The 22,107-nt window shown below is 48.0% G+C and overlaps 3 annotated features.

The window, feature by feature from the left end:
* Nucleotides 6,855–7,797: an enhancer, noted in NCBI's record as "H3K4me1 hESC enhancer chr10:123441905-123442847 (GRCh37/hg19 assembly coordinates)". NCBI's record gives its function as "activates a minimal SCP1, AML or CMV promoter by ChIP-STARR-seq in primed H9 embryonic stem cells {active_cell/tissue: H9 hESC(primed)}" and the evidence as "EXISTENCE:reporter gene assay evidence [ECO:0000049][PMID:30033119]".
* Nucleotides 20,750–21,299: an enhancer, noted in NCBI's record as "H3K27ac hESC enhancer chr10:123428403-123428952 (GRCh37/hg19 assembly coordinates)". NCBI's record gives its function as "activates a minimal SCP1, AML or CMV promoter by ChIP-STARR-seq in naive H9 embryonic stem cells {active_cell/tissue: H9 hESC(naive)}" and the evidence as "EXISTENCE:reporter gene assay evidence [ECO:0000049][PMID:30033119]".
* Nucleotides 21,300–21,849: an enhancer, noted in NCBI's record as "H3K27ac hESC enhancer chr10:123427853-123428402 (GRCh37/hg19 assembly coordinates)". NCBI's record gives its function as "activates a minimal SCP1, AML or CMV promoter by ChIP-STARR-seq in naive H9 embryonic stem cells {active_cell/tissue: H9 hESC(naive)}" and the evidence as "EXISTENCE:reporter gene assay evidence [ECO:0000049][PMID:30033119]".

Genomic DNA, 22,107 nt, shown 5'->3' with positions numbered 1-22,107 from the left:
CATCTGGTACTGCCATGAAACTAGCTGTGGAAACCTAGTTTGTGAATACTCTATGGAAAAGGATTTTCTCTTAAAAATTGTCTTTACAGCTTCTTCTTCTTGAAGTGTTGTCTGGATTTCCTGAGAGGCGATAGACAGCTGGTCAGAGCCTCCTTTTCTTCTTTTTTTAATATAATTTTTTATTTTTAATTTTTGTGAGTACATAGTAGGTGGATATATTTATGGGTTTTATGAGATATTTTGATACAGGCGTGCAGTGCATGATAATCACAGCAGAGTAAATGGAGTATCCATCCCCTCAAGCATTTATCATTTGTGTTGCAAACAATCCAGTTATACTCTTTAGCGATTTTTAAATGTACGATTCAATCATTTTTGAGGGGAGTCACCCTGTTGTGCTAGCAAATACTAGGTCTTATGCATTCGGACTATTTTTTGTGCCCCAGGGCCTCCTTGTCTAAAAGTCTGGAGATCCTGACGTTCTCCTGCCTATTCACTCTCTCTCACTCCCCGGCGTGTTCAGAACAACCTTCCTCAGCAATCCAGAAGGGGTGAGACCCCACAGGCTTTCATAGTAGATGAAACTAAAATAGCTTCTTGATGATCGATTCAAACCCCGTAGGAGTTTCTCTTTCTCTCTGAGGTGATATGCCCCCAAGCCTCTGAAACAGAAGAAAAAGGGAAAAATCAAATAAAAAAGCAAGCACACGATTCATTTGATCTTTGTATCTGTGTGTTTGTATGTATATAACTCTACTTTATTGGTCTTTTCTCACCCATTTTTTGTGGGTTTACATATGAACTATTTCATGTCTTTTTCAAGTAAATCCTTACATACTAATTAGTGTCTTGGCACACCACATACTACACTATTCTCCCCAGTGCCATCTGTGACATGGGAGTACACGTTAAACCACAACCAAAAGTCTATAGAGATTTTTTTGGCTATTCAGGAAAAAAACCAAAACCACCCCTGTACCCCTCCCCCGCCAAAAAAAAAAACCATGTATCCCATTTGAGACAAAGTATTTACCTAGAGTGATATTTATGGAATACCAAAAAGAAAATATTTTGCCTTTTAAAATGCATAACTCTTATCACGTCCTCCTTTTTACTAAAGTGATATATTTTTACCCAATGTCACTGAGTGTGTTGCTCCATGCTGGGTTTCAGGCTGATGGTAGAGGAGCCCTTGGTATGTTCAGTTTCCAGCTATGATGTGATGTTTCTGGTTTGGACCCCAACCTTGCTCGTAGGCACTGACGGTTGAGGTGACTGCTCCCGCCGTGGATTATTCTCTGAGCATCCTGTGCTTAGCCCCTCAGCATAAATAAAGCCTTAGTATCTGCTCTGCCTCTTTCAATCCTCATGTAAAATCATTCTCAAAACTCTCTATAAAGAATCCAGCTTGGCACATAGGGAGGCATTCTGAAAAGTGCAATTCTCCCACAGAGAGGTACTTACCCAGGGAAGCCAGGATCCTAGGAAGTCTATAAATAGGGTTTAGGGCTGCAAAACACCCCTTGAGATCATATGCACACTTTTGTGTGTGTATAGATTTATTTTGGTGAGGAGAGGGCTTATAGTTCTCAAAGGAGTCTGAGACCTGCCCAAAGTTCATCACTGTCACCTCAACTGGCTTCCTCCCTTCCATTTCTTTCTCTTTCCAGTCTATCTTGTATATTACATTAGCATAATCTACATAAAATCTATTTTGCATGTCTTGTAGCATACCCCAAAGCCTTTCAAGTGTCTCCTACTGATAGAACACTGTGTTCTCTTGCCCTGGCTGTCCTCCTAATGCCATCTCTCGTGGTTCTTCTCCCCACCTGCTCCTCCAGACTGTGCCACTCTTATCTCCCCAACATGCCCTGCTTGTTTGCATTCTCCTCTGCCTTCTCTCATCCCTTCCCCACATTCCATCTTCCAAGTCCTTTAAGGTTAAATCCTCTCACTAAGCTTTTCTTCGGTCAACCAACAGCATCACTCTTTTGCACAAGCTTGTGCCATCCATATGGACTTTGACTCTTCACCATAAACTCCTTTTCACAATATTTCATGCAACGAACCTTTCATGTGTATGTCTGGCCATCCGAAATGGATTGTGAATTTCTTGAAGACAAAGTTTCTCTCATTCATCCATTCATTCATTCATTCATTTGTGTGTTCAACAGACACTTATTTAGTATCTTCTATTCATGGGGAACTGGACCTGGTGCTGGGTTTGGACCTCCTCTACACAGGAACAAGCTCTACACACAGAGAACACACTCAGTGAACACTGAATGACTCAATAAATGTGGGTCAAACCAAGCCATTTTAGTAGTGCTCGAGAACCTCTGAAATGAAGACTGCACAGCCAGGGTTTCTCTGGGCTTCTGGGGCCAAAGCAGAACCTGAAGGCATGATGGTTCTTAAAATGGAACCTTCTGGAGGGTTCAGTAAGCCCCAGGCAACAATCTCTTTCCACTTCCAGAGGAGCCTGCATTCTGCTGACTCTGTTCCACCCATGGCAGGCTCCGGCTTTACTGGCTCTAGGTGTCTCCTTGGCTTTTCCTTCCCTGTGGATGGCTGAGTGAGAGCAGGATCAAAGTTCCCCCTTTCATCAGAGCTTGCATCCTACAAAGCGGAAAGAAAAAGAAAACACACCGATTCTTTCTAGCCACCCAAGCTTTCTAGCATTCTAGCCCCAGCAGCTAAACTAATATTCCTGATCGTATTCCTTCGTGGAGAAGCCCACCTCTGGAAACGGGAGTCGGAGTGGGGGACTGGCATCTAGCCAGGTGGTGGGTAGAGTTATCACACCTTCGGGTAGGCGCAGGAACCTGGTGCTGTGTGCACATGGCTTTTAGAGGCTGCTTTGAAAGTCCCCTGAGCTGTTTGTCTTGGCCAGCTCCCGGGGCAGTTGAGCATCTGCCATGAGGGCTGGAGCTGAGGGAGAAGCCAGGCTGTTAGCTTGCTTTCCTCAGCCTTGCATCTTGGTTTGGGATGGATTCCTTTGCTGTGCTCCCTTCAGAGAAAAGGGAGCGTGAGTCCCTGAGATTGAGGGGCCAGTGGCAAGACCAAGCTCCCTAAGCCACATCCTGGAGGCATCTGGGCTGGCCTCCATCACCCAGGATTCTCTTCTCTTCTTTGCTGCAAATCAGAGCACTGGCTCTGCTCGGAGGGTCCCCCAAAGCCTGCTGTTCTTCCTTTCCACCTCCTGCTCTCTCATGCCAGTAAAAACAAGAGAGGGAAACGGCTTTGATGCCGGACCTCCCTCAAGACAACTCTGTCTGCTAGGGAAGAGAGAGACTGTGTACATCTCATGTGTGCATGGTTATGCATTCTGCATATCTTTTACACATTGGGCATGATTTCTCTTGAATTTTTGGCAGAAGTCTCCTGCAGAGGTCCTGAGCAACTACCTTCAAAATAATGTACTTAAAACACACCGCAGCACTCTTTGGTTGGGACCACTGACTACATTTTCCATGGTAGAATGAAGGAAAAGTCAGATTTTACTCATAAAGTGAATCAGTGTATCTGCTCAGATAGCATGTTTAAAATTGTAGAATAATACATATGCTACAAAATTTATCATTTTAACCATTTTAAATGGAACAATTCAGCAGCATTTGGTACATTCACAATGTTGTACAGCCATCGCCGCTACCTACTTCCAGAATATATATATACACACAAACACACAGCATCTCGCTTGCTCTGTCACCCAGGCTGGAGTGCAGTGGCACGATCTCAGCTCATTGCAGCCTATGCTTCCCAGATTCAAGAGATTTTCCCACTTCAGCCTCCCAAGTAGCCAGGATTACAGGCACCCACCACCATGACCGGCTAATTTTTGTATGTTTAGTAGAGACGGGTTTTCACCATGTTGGCCAGGCTGCTCTTGAACTCCTGGCCTCTAGTGATCTGCCCGCCTCAGCCTCCCAAAGTGCTGGGATTACTGGTGTGAACCACCACTCCCGGCCTACTTCCAGAATATTTTAATCATCCCCCAAAGAAACGTGGTTCTCATTAACTAACTGGTCATGCCCTATTTTCCTTTCCCCCGCCTCCTGGCAACCACTAATCAGCTTTCTGTCTCTATGAATTTCCATGCTCTGGATAGTTTATATAAACAGAATTATACAATATATGGCCTTTTGTGATGGGCTTTTTCACTTAGCATAATGTTTGCAAAGTGTATCTGTGTTGTAGTATGTATCAATACATCGTTCCTTTTTATGGCTCAATAATCATCCTAAGTTTGGGGGTTGAAGTTATTTTCTCTCTCTGGCGCTTCTGTTCCCATTCCCACCTTCACTCTGATTCAAGACCATATGAAGCCTTGACTCATCTGAGCTTGATTCTTCCTAACTCTACCTCCTCCAACCTGGCAAGCAACCCCCAAATCTCATCCGAGCACCCCCTGCACCAGGGTCCCCTGAAGAACTGCTTAGAATTGTACGTTCCTGGCTCCACTCCACACCTGAATGGGACCCTCTGGGGGTGAACCCAGGGAATCTTCCTTTCTGACAAGTTTCCGGCCACTCAGACGCATGCACCTTCCCCAGCTCCAGCCCCAGGACTCCTCGACTCCCTGCAGCCGGGCTTCATCTCCATCTATGCCCACCAGATCCCACCCATGTTCCAGATCCAGCACAAATGTCACATCTCCTGTGATTCCTGAAACATTCTTCAACTCTGGGCCAGAAACAAGCTCTCCTAGACTGTGAGCTGCATGAAAACAGAGCTCTGGCCTTCTGTTTGTATCCCTTAAATAATATTCATCCCCACAATAGGAGCATTCACTGAGCATTGATGTGCAGGCTGTGTTCTAGCTGCAATCAATTAACTATTTTAATCTTCATGGTGCAAGTGAAGGCAATGGGATTATCTCCAAATACCTGGAAGAATGCCCTGTCCAGGAAGTGCCGGAGTGATTGTGCTCAGTGACAGACAGAGGGTGACTCCTCAGCCTACGTGATGAAATGGTGTATGAATGAATGAAGTTTCAAAAACCTGTCCTAAACCTCAATGGGGAAAAAAAGCCAGGCAGTGCTGGCAGGATAATAACCATTTAAAAACAAATGTCAGTACCTTCTAAGGAGTACATGAGTCACTCTCCACCAGGGGACCCTTCTGTCCCCACTTTTGTGCAAGGTCCTGGTACCTGAGGCTTCCCATGTGGAGATGTGCATCCTCACTTCCTGCCTCACCTTGTTCAGTTTTCTCATTGATCCTGCTGTTAAGGCAGAAGGTATGTGCCATTACAACAAAGGTGCAAATTACTATGCACGTGACTGAGTTCTGGAAACATGGGCCATGTGATGTGTGGCTCGCGTGGCTCCTGTCAGGTGGGCTAGAACTGGCCTTAGCCAGGAAAGCAAAGCTTTAGTGCAAACTTGTAGCTTTCCTTACCATGTGATCCAGCAACTCTACTCACAGGCATATACAATGAAGAATTGGAGGCAAGGACTCAGACAAGTACTTGTGCACCAGCACTCATACCAGCACTATTTGCAGTAACCAAGACACGTACTTGGTGTACAAGTACACGTCTGAGTGCTTGCTTTCAATTCTTCATCAGATATGTGACATACCCCTACAAAGGATTATTCAGTCTTAAAAAGGGAGGAAATTCTGATACGTGTGATAACACCGATGAGTCTTAAAAATATTATGCGAAGTGAAATAAACCAACCACAAAATGACAAATATTGTAAGATTCCACTTATATGAAACATCTAGAGTAGACATATTCACGGAGATAGAACACAGATTATAGTTTACCAGAGGCTGCGGGGAAGGGAGGAATGGACAGATATTGCTTAATGGATACAGACTTTCCGTTTGGGGTGATGAAAAGATTTTTGGAAAGAGATAGTGGTGATGGTTGCACAACATTATGAATGTACTTAATGCCACTGAAATGTACACCCAAAAATGGTTAAAGTGCTACATTTTGTGTTATAGACATCTTACCACAAAAAAAAAAAAAAAAAAAAAAAGTTCAGCGTTCCTTTTCGATCACCATAATAAAGTACAAAATCCTAGGGCCTCATGTCCCCTTGAATAGGGTCCATTAGGAGCTCCCTGCTGTTGAGCCTGTAATCTGTTTAACCTCCCATTTCTCTGGCCCAGCTGCTGCGGTCTGGGGAGAAAGAGATTTCTGACTTTCCCTGAATGGCCCCAGGGAGAGTGTAGCCCAGCTGAGAGGGCAGTGCGGGCCTTTCCAGCAAGCCTCAACCATTAAATGTGCCCCTAGGGCACCTCCTGCCCTGGGGTCAGAGTTCTGGCCGATTGTCGCACCATGACCACTGAAAGGCCTCCTCATTTCATTGTTAGAAGCCTCAGTAACGTTCTGCCTGTGTCCTTTTCAGACCCTGCAGAATTTCTAAAAATGAAATGAGGGAGTGTTGAACGTACATTCAAATCCAGCCCCGGCCTTGCAAATATACCTGCAATTACTTTATAGACCTGGCATGGTTAGGTGTTGAGAAACCAGCAAGGGAGGAGGGCAGGGACCGGGGAGAAAAACCTGACTTATTAACAAGGCCCTTGGGAGGGAGGACTGATGTTTTTTTCTCAAACACAACCACTATTCAGAGCATGTGGTTAATAATCTTCAATCAACTCCAGTTTATTTGCATATCAAATCAATTTTGCACGCAAAAAGCGTCCCCCATATAAATTAAATGCTCTGTCAAAGACCTCCATGCTTCCAAAAGCCTCACACACTCCAGGCTATTTGGAAAAGCCTTAGCACTAGCTTTGCTCTCCTGTGAAATCGTTTACAGATATTGTATTTTATTTTGATTAATTTATCAAACACATATGTACAGTTATTATGCACCTGGCATGTTCCAAGCTCTTTACAAATATCACCCTACTGAACCTGCCTAATCAACCTACGAGGTGGGTTCTGTTCTTAACCCCACTACACAGATGAGAAAACTGGGGCACAGGTCACTCTCAAGGTGATGGCAGGGCAGACTCTGAGGACATTTTCTTTTTTTCCCCAAAACCTCCATCTCCCGGGTTCAAGCGATTCTCGTGTCTCAGCCTCCCGAATAGCTGGGATCTCGGGCATGTGCCGCCGTGCCCGGCTAATTTTTTTGTTTTTTTTAGTAGAGACGGGGTTTTGCCATGTTGGCCAGGCTGCTCTCGAACTCCTAGCCTCAAGCAATCCAGCCGCCTTGGCCTCCCAAAGTGCTGGGATTACAGGCATGAACCACCGTGCCTGACCTTTGAGAACATTTTCTAAGCGGGCAGGTAGGAGACTAAACAAGCCCCCTTTCACGCAGAGGCTCAGCACCCCGTTTCCCCTGTTCATCGCGTTGGTGTAAGGCCCAGGACAGGCCGCCAGAGCACAGGGAAAGAGCAGGCAGGCGCAGCTGTGTCCTGGGATGTCCACTCTGCTCCCCCGTCACGCTGGCCTCCTCGGCTTCCCTGAGAAATTGTGGAGCGGGAGGTGACGTTTCTTCCCACTTGCCTTAGGAATGGATGGCAGAGGGGAGGCAGCTTTCGGAACCGCCGTGGTGTGGATTGGCAAGCGTGGCGGATCCTTCTGGAGAGCACAGCTGGGATTCCTGGTCATATCGTGTTTGAGAGCCCTTTCGGGTGACTAAAACGCCATTGCTGAAATCTGAATAAGGTCTGCGGATTGTCCCAACGTCAGTTTCCTGGTTTTGATGTTGTACTTTCGTGACGTAAGATGTAAACGTCGGGGGAAACTAGGCAAAGGGTACACGGGGCCAGTCTGCACTGTTTTTGCCACTTCCTGTGAATCTATAATTATTTTCAAATAAAAAGTTTTTTTGTTTTTAATTGCCATTGTTTGAGGCCCGGAAACTGTAGCTACTTCTTCAACTTCAGCTTCGCTGTGTTTCTCTGTGCTTGAGAGCCTGGGACAGCCGCCCAGTCTGTGGAGGGAAACCTATTGTCAGTCTCAGAGCTTGGCCCCTTCTTGGCCCCCAGCTCCCCCTTTCCCCTGGACTGGGGGTTCCCTTTCCTGCTCTCGAGCTGGGGCATTTTCAGCTGCTTTTTAAGAAGTCTGATGTACTTTCCCATAAATCTCAGGCACACTCCGCCCTGAGCCTCCCCCCTCCCTCTCCTGGCAGTAATCCTGGTGCGGGGGAGCACCCCCGGGCTTTCTGAGTCGCCATTTCCATCCCCCATTGGGCACCTTGCATATACTATTTCGTCCAGTTCTCTCAACACCAAGGAAGGGTCTAAGTGGGGAAATGTGGGTATCTCTGGGGGAGGGGAAGTGACCCCCAGGTAGAAGGAAGTACAGGGGCAAAGGCACACAGAGGCAGGATGGGGGCCCCGTATGAAGAACAGACCAGATATTGAGTGGTGCGGAAGAGGCTGCCGGGTGCACTGAGGCTGGACCAGCACGGGGAGGGAGGGGGTGCAGCCAGGCATTCTGAGAACCAGAGACACTGGCCTCATGGTAAATATGGCCGTGAAATATGGACAGACCACAGTAGAACAAAGTCATCCTTCTTCCTGCTCCAAACACTTGAGGCTGTCATCCTCTGTAGTTTCTGAAAAACTTGTGCAGTGTCTTCTCCTTTTAATGTGGCCAGCCTGCAGGGGGTGTATTTACAATCTTGGCCTGACAGCCCTTTACCTGCCCAAGACTCTGATCCTAATTTATTTCTTTCCCTCAAATCCCCAGCATTTGGAGTTGGGCCTCTTCAGAGGGGCAGCACACATGATGGGGCCTCGTGACACCAGTCATTAAATCCCCAAACCTCGTGTGCTGTGGCTCAGCTGCACAGCAGACATTCCGTGTGGATTAGATTTGGCTGGAATGCCTTGGAGTTTAGAGCCGATTTGTCACAGTGTTTCGGGATTAGGCCCCCGAGGGGCCAAGAAGATGAGCCCAGGAATTTCGAAGCCAGTGTCCAGGGCTTAGGGCATGCTGTTTCCACCTCATCCCAGGACATGCCTTCTCTCCACCTCACTCAGATGTGGCTTCAGTGTTGAGGGCTTGTTATTAACAAACCTGACATCCCCTTTCCCCTGACTTCATCCCTGCTGTCCCGTGGGGTTGTCAGGGTAACTCTGCCCTCCCCAAAGGCAAGACACACACGGAGTCCTCCCAGCAGCCCTTTCTTCTCCACTCTGAGATGTTTTCACTGCTCTTTCTCTACCTCTGCCCTTTGATCAGCAGATAATGAGGCTCCTTCTCTCCTCCCCTATCCCAGACTGTTCTGTCTGTTCTGATTTCTTCCCCACAGATGGCCAGGCAGCTTTTCAGAGGCTGTGTTTCTGAATTTTGACCCCCTCCTATCTGGGCAGATTGATTCTCACATGGCATGGCTATGTTTGGGGATAAACGTTGGTGCTTTTATTTTCTCCCTAAAAGGCCCCTGTTCTGGACAGCAAGCTCCCCGAGTGCTGGGATGGGCAGGCTTCCCTGATCGCAAAGTGCCAGGGCCTTTCAGGGCCTGCATTGAGGATGTTCTGTGATGGCTCAACGTTAGGTCTTGCTTGAACGTTCCTTCTAAAATCCTGCAGTGGCCAAATGTGACCCTGGATCTCTGGGTCTTTGCTCTGAAGAACAAAATGTCTGATAAACAGAAATCCAGTCTGGAGGAAGCAGGCTGCTGGGGGCCTGGCCATGTCCCCACTGAGCCAAGGACACACTCGGATGTTCCCACGAAGAGGAAGGGAAGGAAAAGTAGGGCCTTTAGCCAAACAGCCCAATTTCATTTAAAAACTGGTGAGAGAGAAAAGGAAGGCCATATTATCTTTTTAACATTGAAAAATTATATTATTTTTTAGAAATGGGTTCTCTATATGGCCCTGGCTAGTTTTGAACTCCTGTGCTCAAGCAATCTTTTCGCCTCAGCCTTCAAAGTAACTGGAACCACAGGCTTGGCCATCATACCGTTTTTTATATTGAGATGGTGGGAGGTGACCTCTTCTCACTAAAGCCCTTGTCTGACTGACTTCTCAGGAGTGAAAGCACAGTTTGGTAACACTACCTCACACTTAGGTGGCACTCATGTAGAGGCACTGCCCTGAATTTCTGTCATGTAGTCGCTCATTTAATCCTCACAACTACCCCATTTTACAGATGTGGAGACTGAGACACAGAGCCATGAAAACTGAGATCGACTCCTAGAGGATTTGAGCCCACACTGTCTGGCTCCAGAATTCTTCCTCTTAACCACTATGCAGCAGCTAATGATTGAATAATAATTAAATCTTTGTGAAGCTGTTATTAAGTGCTGGGCACTATGCTTTGAAATACATCGTCTGGTTTAACTCTCACACTCTTCTGGGGGAAGGTGTTTTACGCCGATTGTATGAGCACAGAAACTGAGCCTCAGAGAGGCCAGCAGTGGCCATGTGGGATTCAGGCTCAGGCTTCTCTGCTTCTACCTCCTGCTCCTTGTTTTGGGGTGATCCAGGTAGAAGGAAGGCAGGGAGAGGCAGACTGAGGAGGGGATCACCCTTGGGGCCCTGCTCTGTCCCAGTGCACCGTGCCAGAGGTGGCCACACAGTCACTCCTCCCAGAGCTCAGTCCACACCAGTCAAGGTGGCTGCTGGGCAGCTGCCTTCTACTTTTCTGATTCTTGCTGAATATCTTCCCCTGATCATCCTAACATGCCTAGTACCTTAACCCAGCATGCCTGGGCTTGACCACCACCCCCGTGTCCCACGTCCCACCCACCTTCCATCCTGCAGAAACCACTGGCTTCTTCAGCTGCACATCCTCTTATCCACCTGTATTCTCTTGGTCAAGCCTGGAACCCTTTGCATCCTCTATGGCTCCTTTTCAACCTGCCTTCAGCCCTAGTAGTTGCCAAGTCAGAGGAAAGCAACATCCTTTGGGTTGATCCATTGGGGAAAGTCCTGCAGTGGCCAAATGTGACCCTGGATCTCTGGGTCTTTGCTCTGAAGACCAAACTGTCTGAGAAACGTAAATCCACACATACACGAAGGTAAACTATTCCCTGGGGGCACACCAGCTTTGAGTCTCTCTGTCCCCCCTCCTCTCTCTATCCCCAGCTTTTATGGGCTTCAAGGGTTCCACTTTTTGGGACTGTTAAAAATTTAACTGGGAGGCCTTAGGTTGAACTGGCTGCAGTCCTGTGGGTTCCTATAATATGTAAGCAACTGAAGCCTGATGGAAACAGTAAAACAAAACTTAACTCATCAGTCACCACCAACCAACCTCTAACTAGGGACTTACCTACCATCAGAGCATATGCAAATAAGGCAAACACACAGCTGTAGTCATTTAAGTAATTTCTTTTCTTTACTTCCACATTCAGCCCATAAAAGCTTGCTGCCTGTGCTGCTGGAGCAGAGTTCTCTGAACCTCTTTTGGTTTTTTGTGCTGCCCGATCCATGAATCCTTTACTACTCAAATAAACTGTGTTACATTTTTGTCTAATTTTTTTTTAATAGGATCTTACTGGAGGAAAGTGACCCCAGCACTGGGCTGGGGAGCAGCGGCAGGACCCTGTTCTGGAGCTCACCCCAGGTGTTCCCAAGGCCTGGCTGTGTGAGTGTCTGGCTCTGTTGGTCTTGAGGCTGGATGACCCCTGCCCATGCAGGGCTAGGGTAGGAGAGGAGATGTAGAAACCTGAGAAGGGGAGGCCAGTTGGACAACAGGGCTTGCTCTGTCAACTAAGGCTGTTAGCTAAGACTGACAACACAATCTTTCACAAGTGAGGGGGGCTCAAAACAGCCATCCCATTGGGTGTGGTGGGAGGACCAGTGGATCCTCAAGACTAACCTGGAGGTTTGGTGGTTCTTCTCTTCCACGGTGGATCTCCCAGCTTGGATCCTGCTTGGATTTGGAAAACACTTGAGATCTTGTGTTACCCTCCAGCCCCAAGTGAGTTTGAAAGTTGGCTTCACAATGACTGGGAGTTTAAACTAGAAATTTCCATCTGATCTTCAGGCAAGGGATTTCTGCATCTCCCCTGCCAGACTTTATGTTAAGCAAGTAGAGTTTTGGCACAGACTTGATTTTGATGTACATGAATAGGCTTTTGTGTCATATTTATTTTGCTGGCCAAAGAAACCCAGGATTTCAGATTTTGAAATCAGGCTCTGCACTTATTCTATTATTCTACTGCTATGGATTAACATATTTAAATAGCTCTTATCCCACCACCCAAGGCAATAGGATAAAAGTTTTCAAAGGAAAAACCTAGGAGATACCAAAGCATATGCAGACCATCCTGGTTGTGGCTCCCCTCCCCAGGGGCAGTGGCCACTCCTAGTTGATTTGGGGGCATATTGCAGAGATATTCTAGACATATTCAGCTGCATTTGTAAACACACTCCTCCTCCTCCTCTTTCACCTGTATTGTCGCATATGAAACTCACAGTCCTGCACTTGATTTGTTAAGAAAATACCCCAGGTGTTGTTTCTCTCATTCTTCTTCATGGTCTATGTGACCCATAATAAACTTACGCAGTCCCCTAATAATGGACTAACCAGCACTAAACAGACATTTAGGTTGTCTCCAGCCTTTTTGAGTCCTGCTTACCTAGAAGGTAAAAGATGAGATCTAGTATGATTTAAGGTGTACTTTTCTCTTTTCTTATTCATAAGGTTGAGCATCTCTTTATATTTAAGCAAAGTCATTTGTGTGTCATTTTCTGTGCATTTGCTGGCTAAGTCTTTGCTCTCAGCTTTTTGGGTCTCCATATTAAAGAAACATACTCACATTTCCTTAATGCTGAAAACTGTTGATGTTCCAGGTGCATGTTAATGAAGGCATTCAAGACAACAGGAAGAACCCTTTGAGTTGGGAGATAGTGCTCTGAGGAGCAGGAAGGGATGACCCTTGGCAGGATTGTATAATTGACAGTCTTTTATAGGGGAAAATAATTCCCATTATCCAGGACATCTCTCAATATCTCTAAGATATTAACAAAAATAGCAGCAATTTTTTTTGAGGATCTATCATGTGCTAGATGGTATGCTAAGTGTGTTAAATGGATTATTTCCTTTGATCAGCACAACATCCTGTGATGTCAGCACTATTGTTACTCTTGTTTTACAGATGAGGAAACCAAAGCACAGAGAGGTAAACAAATAGTCTGGGGTCAAAGAGTAGCAGTCAGGATTTGAACCCAGGCCATAACTTTCATGCTGTACAGCCTCCCACGTGAGTAGGCAAGTGCTTCTTGGGCTGGTGAGCATATGAGCAGCGTTGACCCTGGAATATGGGCATTTCGAAGAACACAGTCAGGAAGAACATCTTGAGATCTATTATGGTCACGGCCACCTTTGCCAGTGATGTTCTTCCAAAGGGTGGTTTTACCTTGCACGAAGACTGCAAAAACTACCGCATTAATTATTATGAGAAGCCCTTTTGCCCAGGGCTCAGATTCGCCTCCACTCCCTTGAACCTGTTCATGCATGAGCAGCATAGGCTCCTGGAAGCTTGGCTGTCCCAGAAAAGGAATACCAAAAAGGGGGAGTGTTATCCCCTTCAGCCCCACTGGCACCCCGGCATTCCTTGGAATTCAGCATGTGGATTCATAGCTCATCATAGCAGCCTACTTGGGGGAAAAGCTTTGTAATGCTCCTCTTGGGAACTGTCCAACTCACAGACAGCTCTAAAAAAGGAGAAAGAGAGAACCCTCTCAGCACCTGCCTCTGCCTTTAGCCACTTCCTGGGAGACTTTCCAACTGCACCCAAGGTGCATGATGTCTCAGCCCCCAGTGGGGAATGTGGACCAAGGGGCTGTTTCCACCCTGGGCTTCCAGCATTCGACACGGCCTAGGGGCCCCAGAACAGGTGCCTCCACATGCGCCTCCAGCTCAGCGCTCTCCTTTTCTGTGTGTCTTGCCTCCTCTGTTCACCTCAGGCTGCGATCAGCCACAGGGAAGAGATGACCAGAATCCTTTCTGCTGTCTTCTGACACTGCCTGGCTGACCCTGCCTCACTCTGGCCTGCCCTTGACCTGGATGGGGAAATGGCTGCAGGCTGATGGGCCAGCCAGGGACACCTCTGTCCACACTGATGTGAGGCCATGTCCCATTCCCGGCTTGCTGGTTGTGTCCGAGGTCTATGCTAACTGACCACAATTTCTGCAGCCTTTCTGCTGACGGTTCAGCTCCAAGAAAGCTGTCTGGGGTAAGGAGTCTGCAGGCTGGTAAAGGCATCCTGTGTTTGTGTGTGTGTGTGTGTGCGTGTTTGTGTGTGTGTGTGTATGCAGACAGAGAGAGAAAGGGAAGGGAAGGGTACAGAATATTAAACTCAATAGAGACAGTATTCCTTTAGAATTTTTTTTAAGATAGAGTCTCACTCTTTCACCCAGGTTAGAGTACAGCAGCCTGATCTCAGCTCATTGTAACCTCTGCCTACCTGGCTCAAGCATGCCTCAGCCACTTGAGTAGCTGAGACTACAGGCATGCACCACCACACCTGGCTAATTTTTGTATTTTTAATAGAGACAGGGTTTCACCTTGTTGGCCAGGCTGGTCTTGAACTCCCAGCCCAAACGATTACCCCACTTGGCCTCCCAAAGTGCTGGGATTACCAGCATGAGCCACCACACCTGGCCTAGAATATTTGCTTTCTCTCAAGTAAGTACCTTCAGGAGGAATTTAATAGTGAATGAGGCTGGGCATGTTTTCCATCTGGTGTGTACAATGAATAACAGAGAGTAAACAAGTTGTCAGGCCCAGTCATGTGGCAAAAGGTAGTTTATCGGCAAGCTGTGGAATCAGAGTTCAGTCAAGCTCGCTCTGGGAAGCCCCGAGTCTGCTGTTCCTATTACTGATGAATTAAGTTTCTGGAAAAGAAAAGGCCTTCCTGGTTTGTCCCTCTATCTCATGACCCTGTGCAGGAACTACAACAAACCCTTTCCCACTCCCCTCCCTGACCCATTCTCTCCACCTCTGTGCCTGTTCCTGCTCTTCCCTCCACCTGAAATGCCCTTCCCATTGTCTCTGGCTGTTCCCACGTTATCCTTGCTTCAGGTCCCAGCCACAGTCCACATCTTTCTCTAGGATGGCTTCTGCACTGCTCAGGAATGAGCAGATATAAATGGGAAGTAGGCAGGGACCAGACACTAGAGATGTGGAGTGCCATGGCAGACACTGCTAATTATCTACCATTTTGTTCAGGGAGGCAACAAGTCCAACTTTTAGCTCCTGTCCCTGGCTCCCTTGCAGCTAGGGAAAGCCACGTGTCCCAGTTCTGACAGTGAGATCTAAATACAAGCTTGCACGGGGCTTTGGGGGAAACTGTTTATATGGGAACAGAATCATGATGTAGCACCCTAATGATTGAAGTCACCTACTAGAGATCTCCAAAGAAGAACGGGAAGGAGACTGGGTCCCTGAGGGCTCTCCCCTGGCCCCACCTCCCCTGGACCTGCTTTGTCAGATGGATCCAGGTTTTGTGGGGCCTGAGGCTTTTTCACTGTGGAAGGCCTTCTTTGAGGAAAAAAATGCAAAATATAAAATAAACTGGCTAAAACTTGGGAGGGGGTCCCAAAGTTTAATTGAATTTCTTCCAGGACTTCCACCTCTGCACTTCTTGAAAAAGGGAAAAAGGAAACAATTTGTTTGAGCCAAAGTTCTCAGAACTGAATCTCATTCCTGACAGTCCAGTGTTATCAGCAGTGGCTTCAAGTGCTGGCTGTTCTAAGGAAGAATAGGATCTTCCTTAGAAGAAGATCTTAAACCTGGTTAGCAGCTTAGAACAGATCCTAACCTTAGCAGCACGCAGGAGGCATTTAATGTCCTTGTTTTGGGTTGAATTCTGTCCCCCTCAAAATTGGTAGGTTGAAGTCCTAACCCCTAATAATTCAGAATGTGAACTTTTTTGGAGATCAGGTCCTTACTAAGGTAATCAGGTTAAAACGAGGTCATTTGAGTGGTCTCTCATCCCATATGACGGGTGTCTTTATAAAAAAAAAAGGGGAAATTCGAACACAGAGATTGACAAAGAGGGGATAGGATATGAAGAGACACAGGAAGAAACCAGCCACCTGCAAGCCAAGGAGAGGGGCCTAGAACATCAGCAAAGTGGATCCTTCCTTTGCAGCCCTCAGAAGGAGCCAACCCCAAGTGTCACCTTAATCCTTGTTTCCAGAACAGTGAGACAGTCCGCTCCTATTGTCTAAGCCACCCGGTCCATGGCACTATGATGGCAGCTCTAGCAGGCCGACACAGCCCTAAGACCCGGGCCCTACCAGACTCTGATCCAACCATCTGGGGTCAGCTCAGATCTGGGACTGTTTTCAAAGGCCCTGGGGTGACCTATTGTGCAACCAGGGATAGAACCGCGAACTTAGAGGATTCAGAAAGCTTCAGAGAGTAGATTGTGCTCAGACAGGCCTTGAAGAAGGAATAGGAGTTCAAGGGACAAAGAAGCCAGGAAGGTGGCCGGGCGTGGTGGTTCATGCCTGTAATCCCAGCACTTTGGGAGGCTGAGGTGGGTGGATCACGAGGTCAGGAGTTTGAGACCAGCCTGGCCAACATGGTGAAACTCCGTCTCTACTAAAAATACAAAAATTAGCCAGGAGTGGTGGGGGTGCACCTGTAATCCCAGCTACTCAGAGGGTTGCAGCAGGAGAATTGCTTGAACTGGGGAGGCGGAGGTTGCCGTGAGCCAAGATCGCACCACTGCACTCCAGCCTGGGTGACAGAGCAACATCTGTCTCTGGGCGGGGCGGTGGGGGAGGAAAGAAGCCAGGAAGGTGTTCAGGCACCATTACCAGCCTGAGCATGATGGGGTTACAGCACAAGACCTCATGTGTGCCAGGTCAGAGGGGACCTCGCGGGAGGACCCACGGCAACAGCAGAACAGTCTGGGCTTACCCAGGGAGGAGGGTCTTACCTGGCATGCAAGGGGTTTTCCTGGGCAGCAGGAGCCAGTGAAGACAGCAGTCTGAGGCCTGTGGGGATGGGAGGTGTCCTTTAGAAAGACAAGGCATCCTATTTTCTCTTTTGCTGTTACTGGATGTGCCCCTCGTCAGCTCCAGCTTCATGACAGTGGCCGTTCATGTGCTGGCCCCTCGGGAGGTGCTGGTGGCCTCGGTGCAGAATCACAGGCTGGAAACAACCGCCTTTCCTTGGAGGAACTTGCTGGGGTTTCTCGGGCACTGAGAGGTGCTTTCCTCTTGCTGAATGTCCTTCCCCTCTTGCCGAACGTCCTTCTCCTCTTGCCCTCTGGGCAAACTCCTGTAGCACCTTCAACGCCCAGCTTCTGTCACCTCCTCTGGGCGACCTGTCTTGTCTCTCCTTTGAGCCTGCTGCTGTTCCCCACCACAGCGCCTCCCATGGATCTTGCCATGGTTTGCTCCTTTGTCTTCTCTTCACTGGTCTCAAGAATGAGGACTGTCTCCTCTCTCACTCACTGAAAAATGTTTATTGAGCAACTGCTGTCTGCCGGGTCCTGCAACCTGCAGCAGTGAGCTTTGCTGATGTTCCACAGGCGGCCGTTGAATTGATGGAGCAGGAAAAAAAAAGAGCACAAGAGGGCATTGAAACAGAAGGAGCGATTTTGCATCATGACAGCTTGCAAATACGTGTTGATTGGATGGCCAGGGGGCTATTAGTATTAAGAGAATTCAGTTAAACCACAGAAAACTCTCCAAGCTGTTTCCCATCTATAAACTGAGAATAAGAATCAACTGTATTTGTCAAACGTTTCAAGGAAAGTGCACTAAGTTAACTATATTCTATCTGAGTTTAAATTCCTTCTCTGGGGGCAGGGAAGGTGGAACGTACATCTGTGCATTTGACTGATCATTTATCAGACTGTGTTGCGTGCCCTGGGACAACCTGGCGGGCTCCCTGTAGTCTGGATTTCTGGCACAGGTAGAATGTGGACCGATGGAATTGCAAGATCGGCCCTGTGCCTGTTTTAGTGGATGGTACCAATCTCCTCCTTGATTTCTTTACTCCTAACTACGGCTTAGTGGGTTAAAGCTTAATTCCTTTTCTCCGTCCCTTGACCATTCTCCGTTGCAGCAACCAATGCATTAAATGGATAGAGAAGAAGGAAGGAAGGAAGCCCAGATGCCTGGCTAATCGAGAGCAAGGAAACCAGGCATTATTAGCACCATACCAGGTGCTCTGTTCTTGAATAGGATATGGACTCTATTCTTCAGGCCATATTCTGTTAGCATCCCACAGGACTTAATTCCCTGAGCTGGTTTCTGCTCAGGCACTGGGGACCGGAGTAAGCAGATTATAGTCAGCATGGAAGAGAGGCTAGCTTCAGGGGAAGGGCTCGGCTTCCTTCTGAAAGAAAAGCAGGTGTTCCAAGAGGAATTCTGCCATTCAAGAAATGATAAATGCCTCCTTGGCAGACAGCCCACTGCAAAGGTGGGTGCTTGTTTTAGCAAAAGGTATACAATTAATAGATAGTGCTTTGAACCTAGCCCACAGGTTACAGGAACAAGCTTTTATTAAAGACCATAATGACCTCCATATTTGGCATTTACTTCTTCGGGCAGGGCCAGAGCCGTCAGGCTGCTGGACCCTGAGGCAGCCTGAGGGGCCCCTGTCCATTTACAAGGGCCTTAGACCCAGGTGGACAGACAGCAGCAGTTAGAGGCCTACTGAGAACTTTTCTTGGAAGAGGCATTATTAAATACTTCGACAAATTGAAACAGAGAGGTTCCTTTACTCCTTCACTCCTCTACTGTCATCAAAGTTATGCACGGAAGCCTGGGCGTGATGGCTCACATGTGTAATCCCAGCACTTTGGGAGGCCAAGGCAGGCGGATCACTTGAGGTCAGGAGTTTGAGACCAGCTTGGCCAACATGGTGAAACCTCCTCTCTACTAAAAATACAAAAATTAGCCAGGCGTGGTGGTGGGTGCCTGTAGTCCCAGCTACTTGGGAGGCTGAGGCATGAGAATCACTTGAACCTGGGAGGTGGAGGTTGCAGTGAGCTGAGATCGTGCCACTGCACTCCAGCCTGGGTGATAGAGCAAGACTGTCTCAAAAAAAAAAAAAAAGTTATGCACAGAAGGCTGTAATGGCCTATTTTACAGCAGATGAGATGTTTTTACAAGCTAATAAGGACACGCAAAGTTGGGGAAGAGGTGGGAGGGCCCAGGTTTGGCACTTGTGAGGAAAAGGAGCAAAACCCTGGAAAATGGAAACTTCCAGTACTCTAGCAGGGCTGAAAACTGTGAATAGGAACCACAGCATGGTAGGCAAGGGCACCATTTTGAGGCCTGCCCTTCAGAATCCCAGTGGGCCCTCAGCTGCCCACTGTAGGGTCGCTGTGGACACACAGTGCCTTCCCCGGCTGCTTCATGGAGGGAAAAGGCCAGGAACACTGGGCAAACTGAAGGCCACACTCTTAGCTTTTGTGCCTGTCCAGGGGCCAGCAGGGAGGTGGGCTGCTGCAGGAGCAATATCTCTCTGAAACTCTGAGCATTTGTTTCATTTAACGAGTGCCTGCTGTGGGCTGACCTAGAGCTGGGCGAGGAGGAAAGGACCACTCTCGAGGGGCAACAGCTGATTTGGAGAGCCAGGAGGGGTGGCCCCTCAGCCAGAGGCCGCTGCACACGAGAGGATGCCAGTTCTGTCCCACCAATTCCTTTCCTCTCCTCTTCCCATCTAATCTGTCCCCCAAATCAGACACCTTGTAAATCCCAGTTAGATCACATGACTTCCTTACTTAGAGCTTCTGCAGGCCTTCCCAGCCCTGAATCCTGGTGCTCGGGGACCTATAGGAGCTGCCTTTCCAGCTTTTATTCCTCCCTGAGTCTCATCTCCTCCTGGACTCCAGGTAAACCAGAGACTCCCATCCTCCCACTGTCCTCCCTCCCTGGGGCACTTTCCTGCCTTGGTTTTGTCCACAGCATCCTCAATGCCTGGAAACCCACCCACACCCTCGAACCACCTCAACCTGCACAGCTCCCAAGTCAAGGCCATATCCAACACCCACACTGGGCCGGGCACAGTGGCTCACACCTGTAATCCCAGCACTTTGGGAGGCCAAGGCAGGTGGATCACCTGAGGTCAGGAGTTTGAGACCAGCCTGGCCAACATGGCGAAACCCTGTCTCTACTAAAACTACAAAAATTAGATGGGTGTGGTGGTGCACACCTGTATTCTCAGCTACTCGGGAGGCTGAGGCAGGGAGAATTGCTTGAACCTGGGAGGCAGAGGTTGCAGTGATCTCATTGCGCAACTGCACTCCAGCCTGGGTGACAGAGCGAGACTCTGTCTCAAAAACAAGAAGCAAAAACCGAAAAAAAAAAAAATCCCACACTGCCCTAATTCCCAAATGGAGCCAAGTCTTCCTCTCCCCTCTCTCCTCTTCCCTGGCCTTGGCCTCTGCTTCACCCGCACTGACCGCTTTATCCCATAGTATTTCAGATCTCTCTGTCCTGTCTAATGTGCAGCCCCTGAGGGCAGTGGCCCTATTTTAAGCCCCTGCTTCTCAACCTGACTGCACATTCTTATCCCCTGGGGAGTGTTAAAAGCCTACCCCTGCCACGTCCCACACCTGGAGATTCTGACAAAATTAGTGCAGGTCTCTGGGGTGCAGCCAGGTAGGGGGAGTTTAGAGAACGCTCAACAGGTGAATCTAATATGCAGCCACGTGTTGAGAACATCTTTGAATCCTCAATGCATTGTGCTTCTCAGGTGTTTGTTGAATTGAATACAATCATTGGAACTTGAAGGTAGCGGTGGTGAATCAGGTCATAGATCAGTGCTGACCCATGGAAGTACAACATGAGCCATAAATACGAGCCACCTATGTCGTTTTCAATTTTCTAGTTGCCACATTCAAGAAAGTAAAAAGCACCAGTGAAATGAATGTGTATATCTTTTCATCCCTGTATGCGAATATTATTTCAATATGTAATCAGTACAAACATACTTGATGAGATATTGCGCATTCTTTTGTTCATACTAGTTCTTGGAAATCCTGTGTGTATTTTACACTTAGGATACATCTCAATTTGGATGAACCACGGTTCAAGGGCTCAGTAGCTTCTTGCGGCTTGGGGCTGCCATATTAGGGCAGTTATAGACCACAGACCAGCTGAATTGTGGTGTTTTTATGCCTGGAGAGCACATGTGTATTGTGCGAGCAGGCTTGCAGAGGCAAGAGAGGTGGCTTCGGCAGCTGCTATGAGACAGATTTAACACTCTTAGCCCTGAACGCCCCCCTCCCTTCTAGTTAAATCAGAGCATCTTCTTATCTTGCCTCGCTTTCCTCTTCACTCCTTCCCCATACCCGCCCCATCTGGGTCCCACATCCAAAGTAAATTTCCTCCCCTGCTCAGCCTCCTGTGACCCGGCTTTCCAGCACCCAGCTGCAGACCTGCTGCTGCTTCCTGTCCTGGTTCTCTTTGGAGAGCTGGCCGCCAGTCCCAGTGGGAGGGAAAAGGGGTGGGGAAACCTGGCCCAGAGACCTGGGAGGGAGCTGGGAGAGTTTGGAGTGTGTTCTCTCTCTCCTTTGCTTTCTCTTGCTCTCTCTTTCTGGGTCAGCATGCTAGGCCACCGACCATCCCCTCTCCCCCTGGCCTCCCTTCTTAGGGGTCCTCTTGGACCCCTAAGAAGATCTGGAAGCTGAGTAGGTCTCTGGTGGGGTTACTTGGCTGCTTGCCAGCCTCCCCAGGGGCAACCCCTGGTGGGGACATTTTGATGCCAAAATGTGCAAAGCCAGCAAGAACGGGACTATTATTAGACCTTCCCCCACCGGCCCAGTTACCGGCCACATGACTCGGCCCTTTGATGGCTCAGTGGGAGCCTCAGCCCAGCTCTCTGTGACTACTAATATGGTGTTTCTAAAAATGCCTTTCCACTGGTGCATACTATCACTGTCCTCCTGATGGTGATCTTTTGTTTCCAAAAGCAATTAATCTTCTTTGTCTTTTCTTTTTCTTATTGCATGTGGCCAGTTCCTGGTCTTTGTTGCTGTACTAAATATGTGAATTGTTTTGGAGCATGTGGTAGACGGGTTTTTATGCTCTAAGTTTTTGCTGAAAGCTGTGATGGCAGGGATGGCTAATGAGATTTTTTTTTAAGTGCTACAATTCTTAGGCATGTAGCAAGAGGTTTCACTTGAAAACTTGGAGAGATACATTGTAGATGACTCAATTTCACAGCTTCATAGCGTGCTGCAACCTGACTAGTTCTGCAGC

Source organism: Homo sapiens, chromosome 10 (assembly GCF_000001405.40).
Source record: "Homo sapiens chromosome 10, GRCh38.p14 Primary Assembly".
NCBI classification, from domain to species: domain Eukaryota; kingdom Metazoa; phylum Chordata; class Mammalia; order Primates; family Hominidae; genus Homo; species Homo sapiens.
Note: the sequence above shows the minus strand (reverse complement) of the source record. Positions and strands in the feature narration are given on the sequence as shown.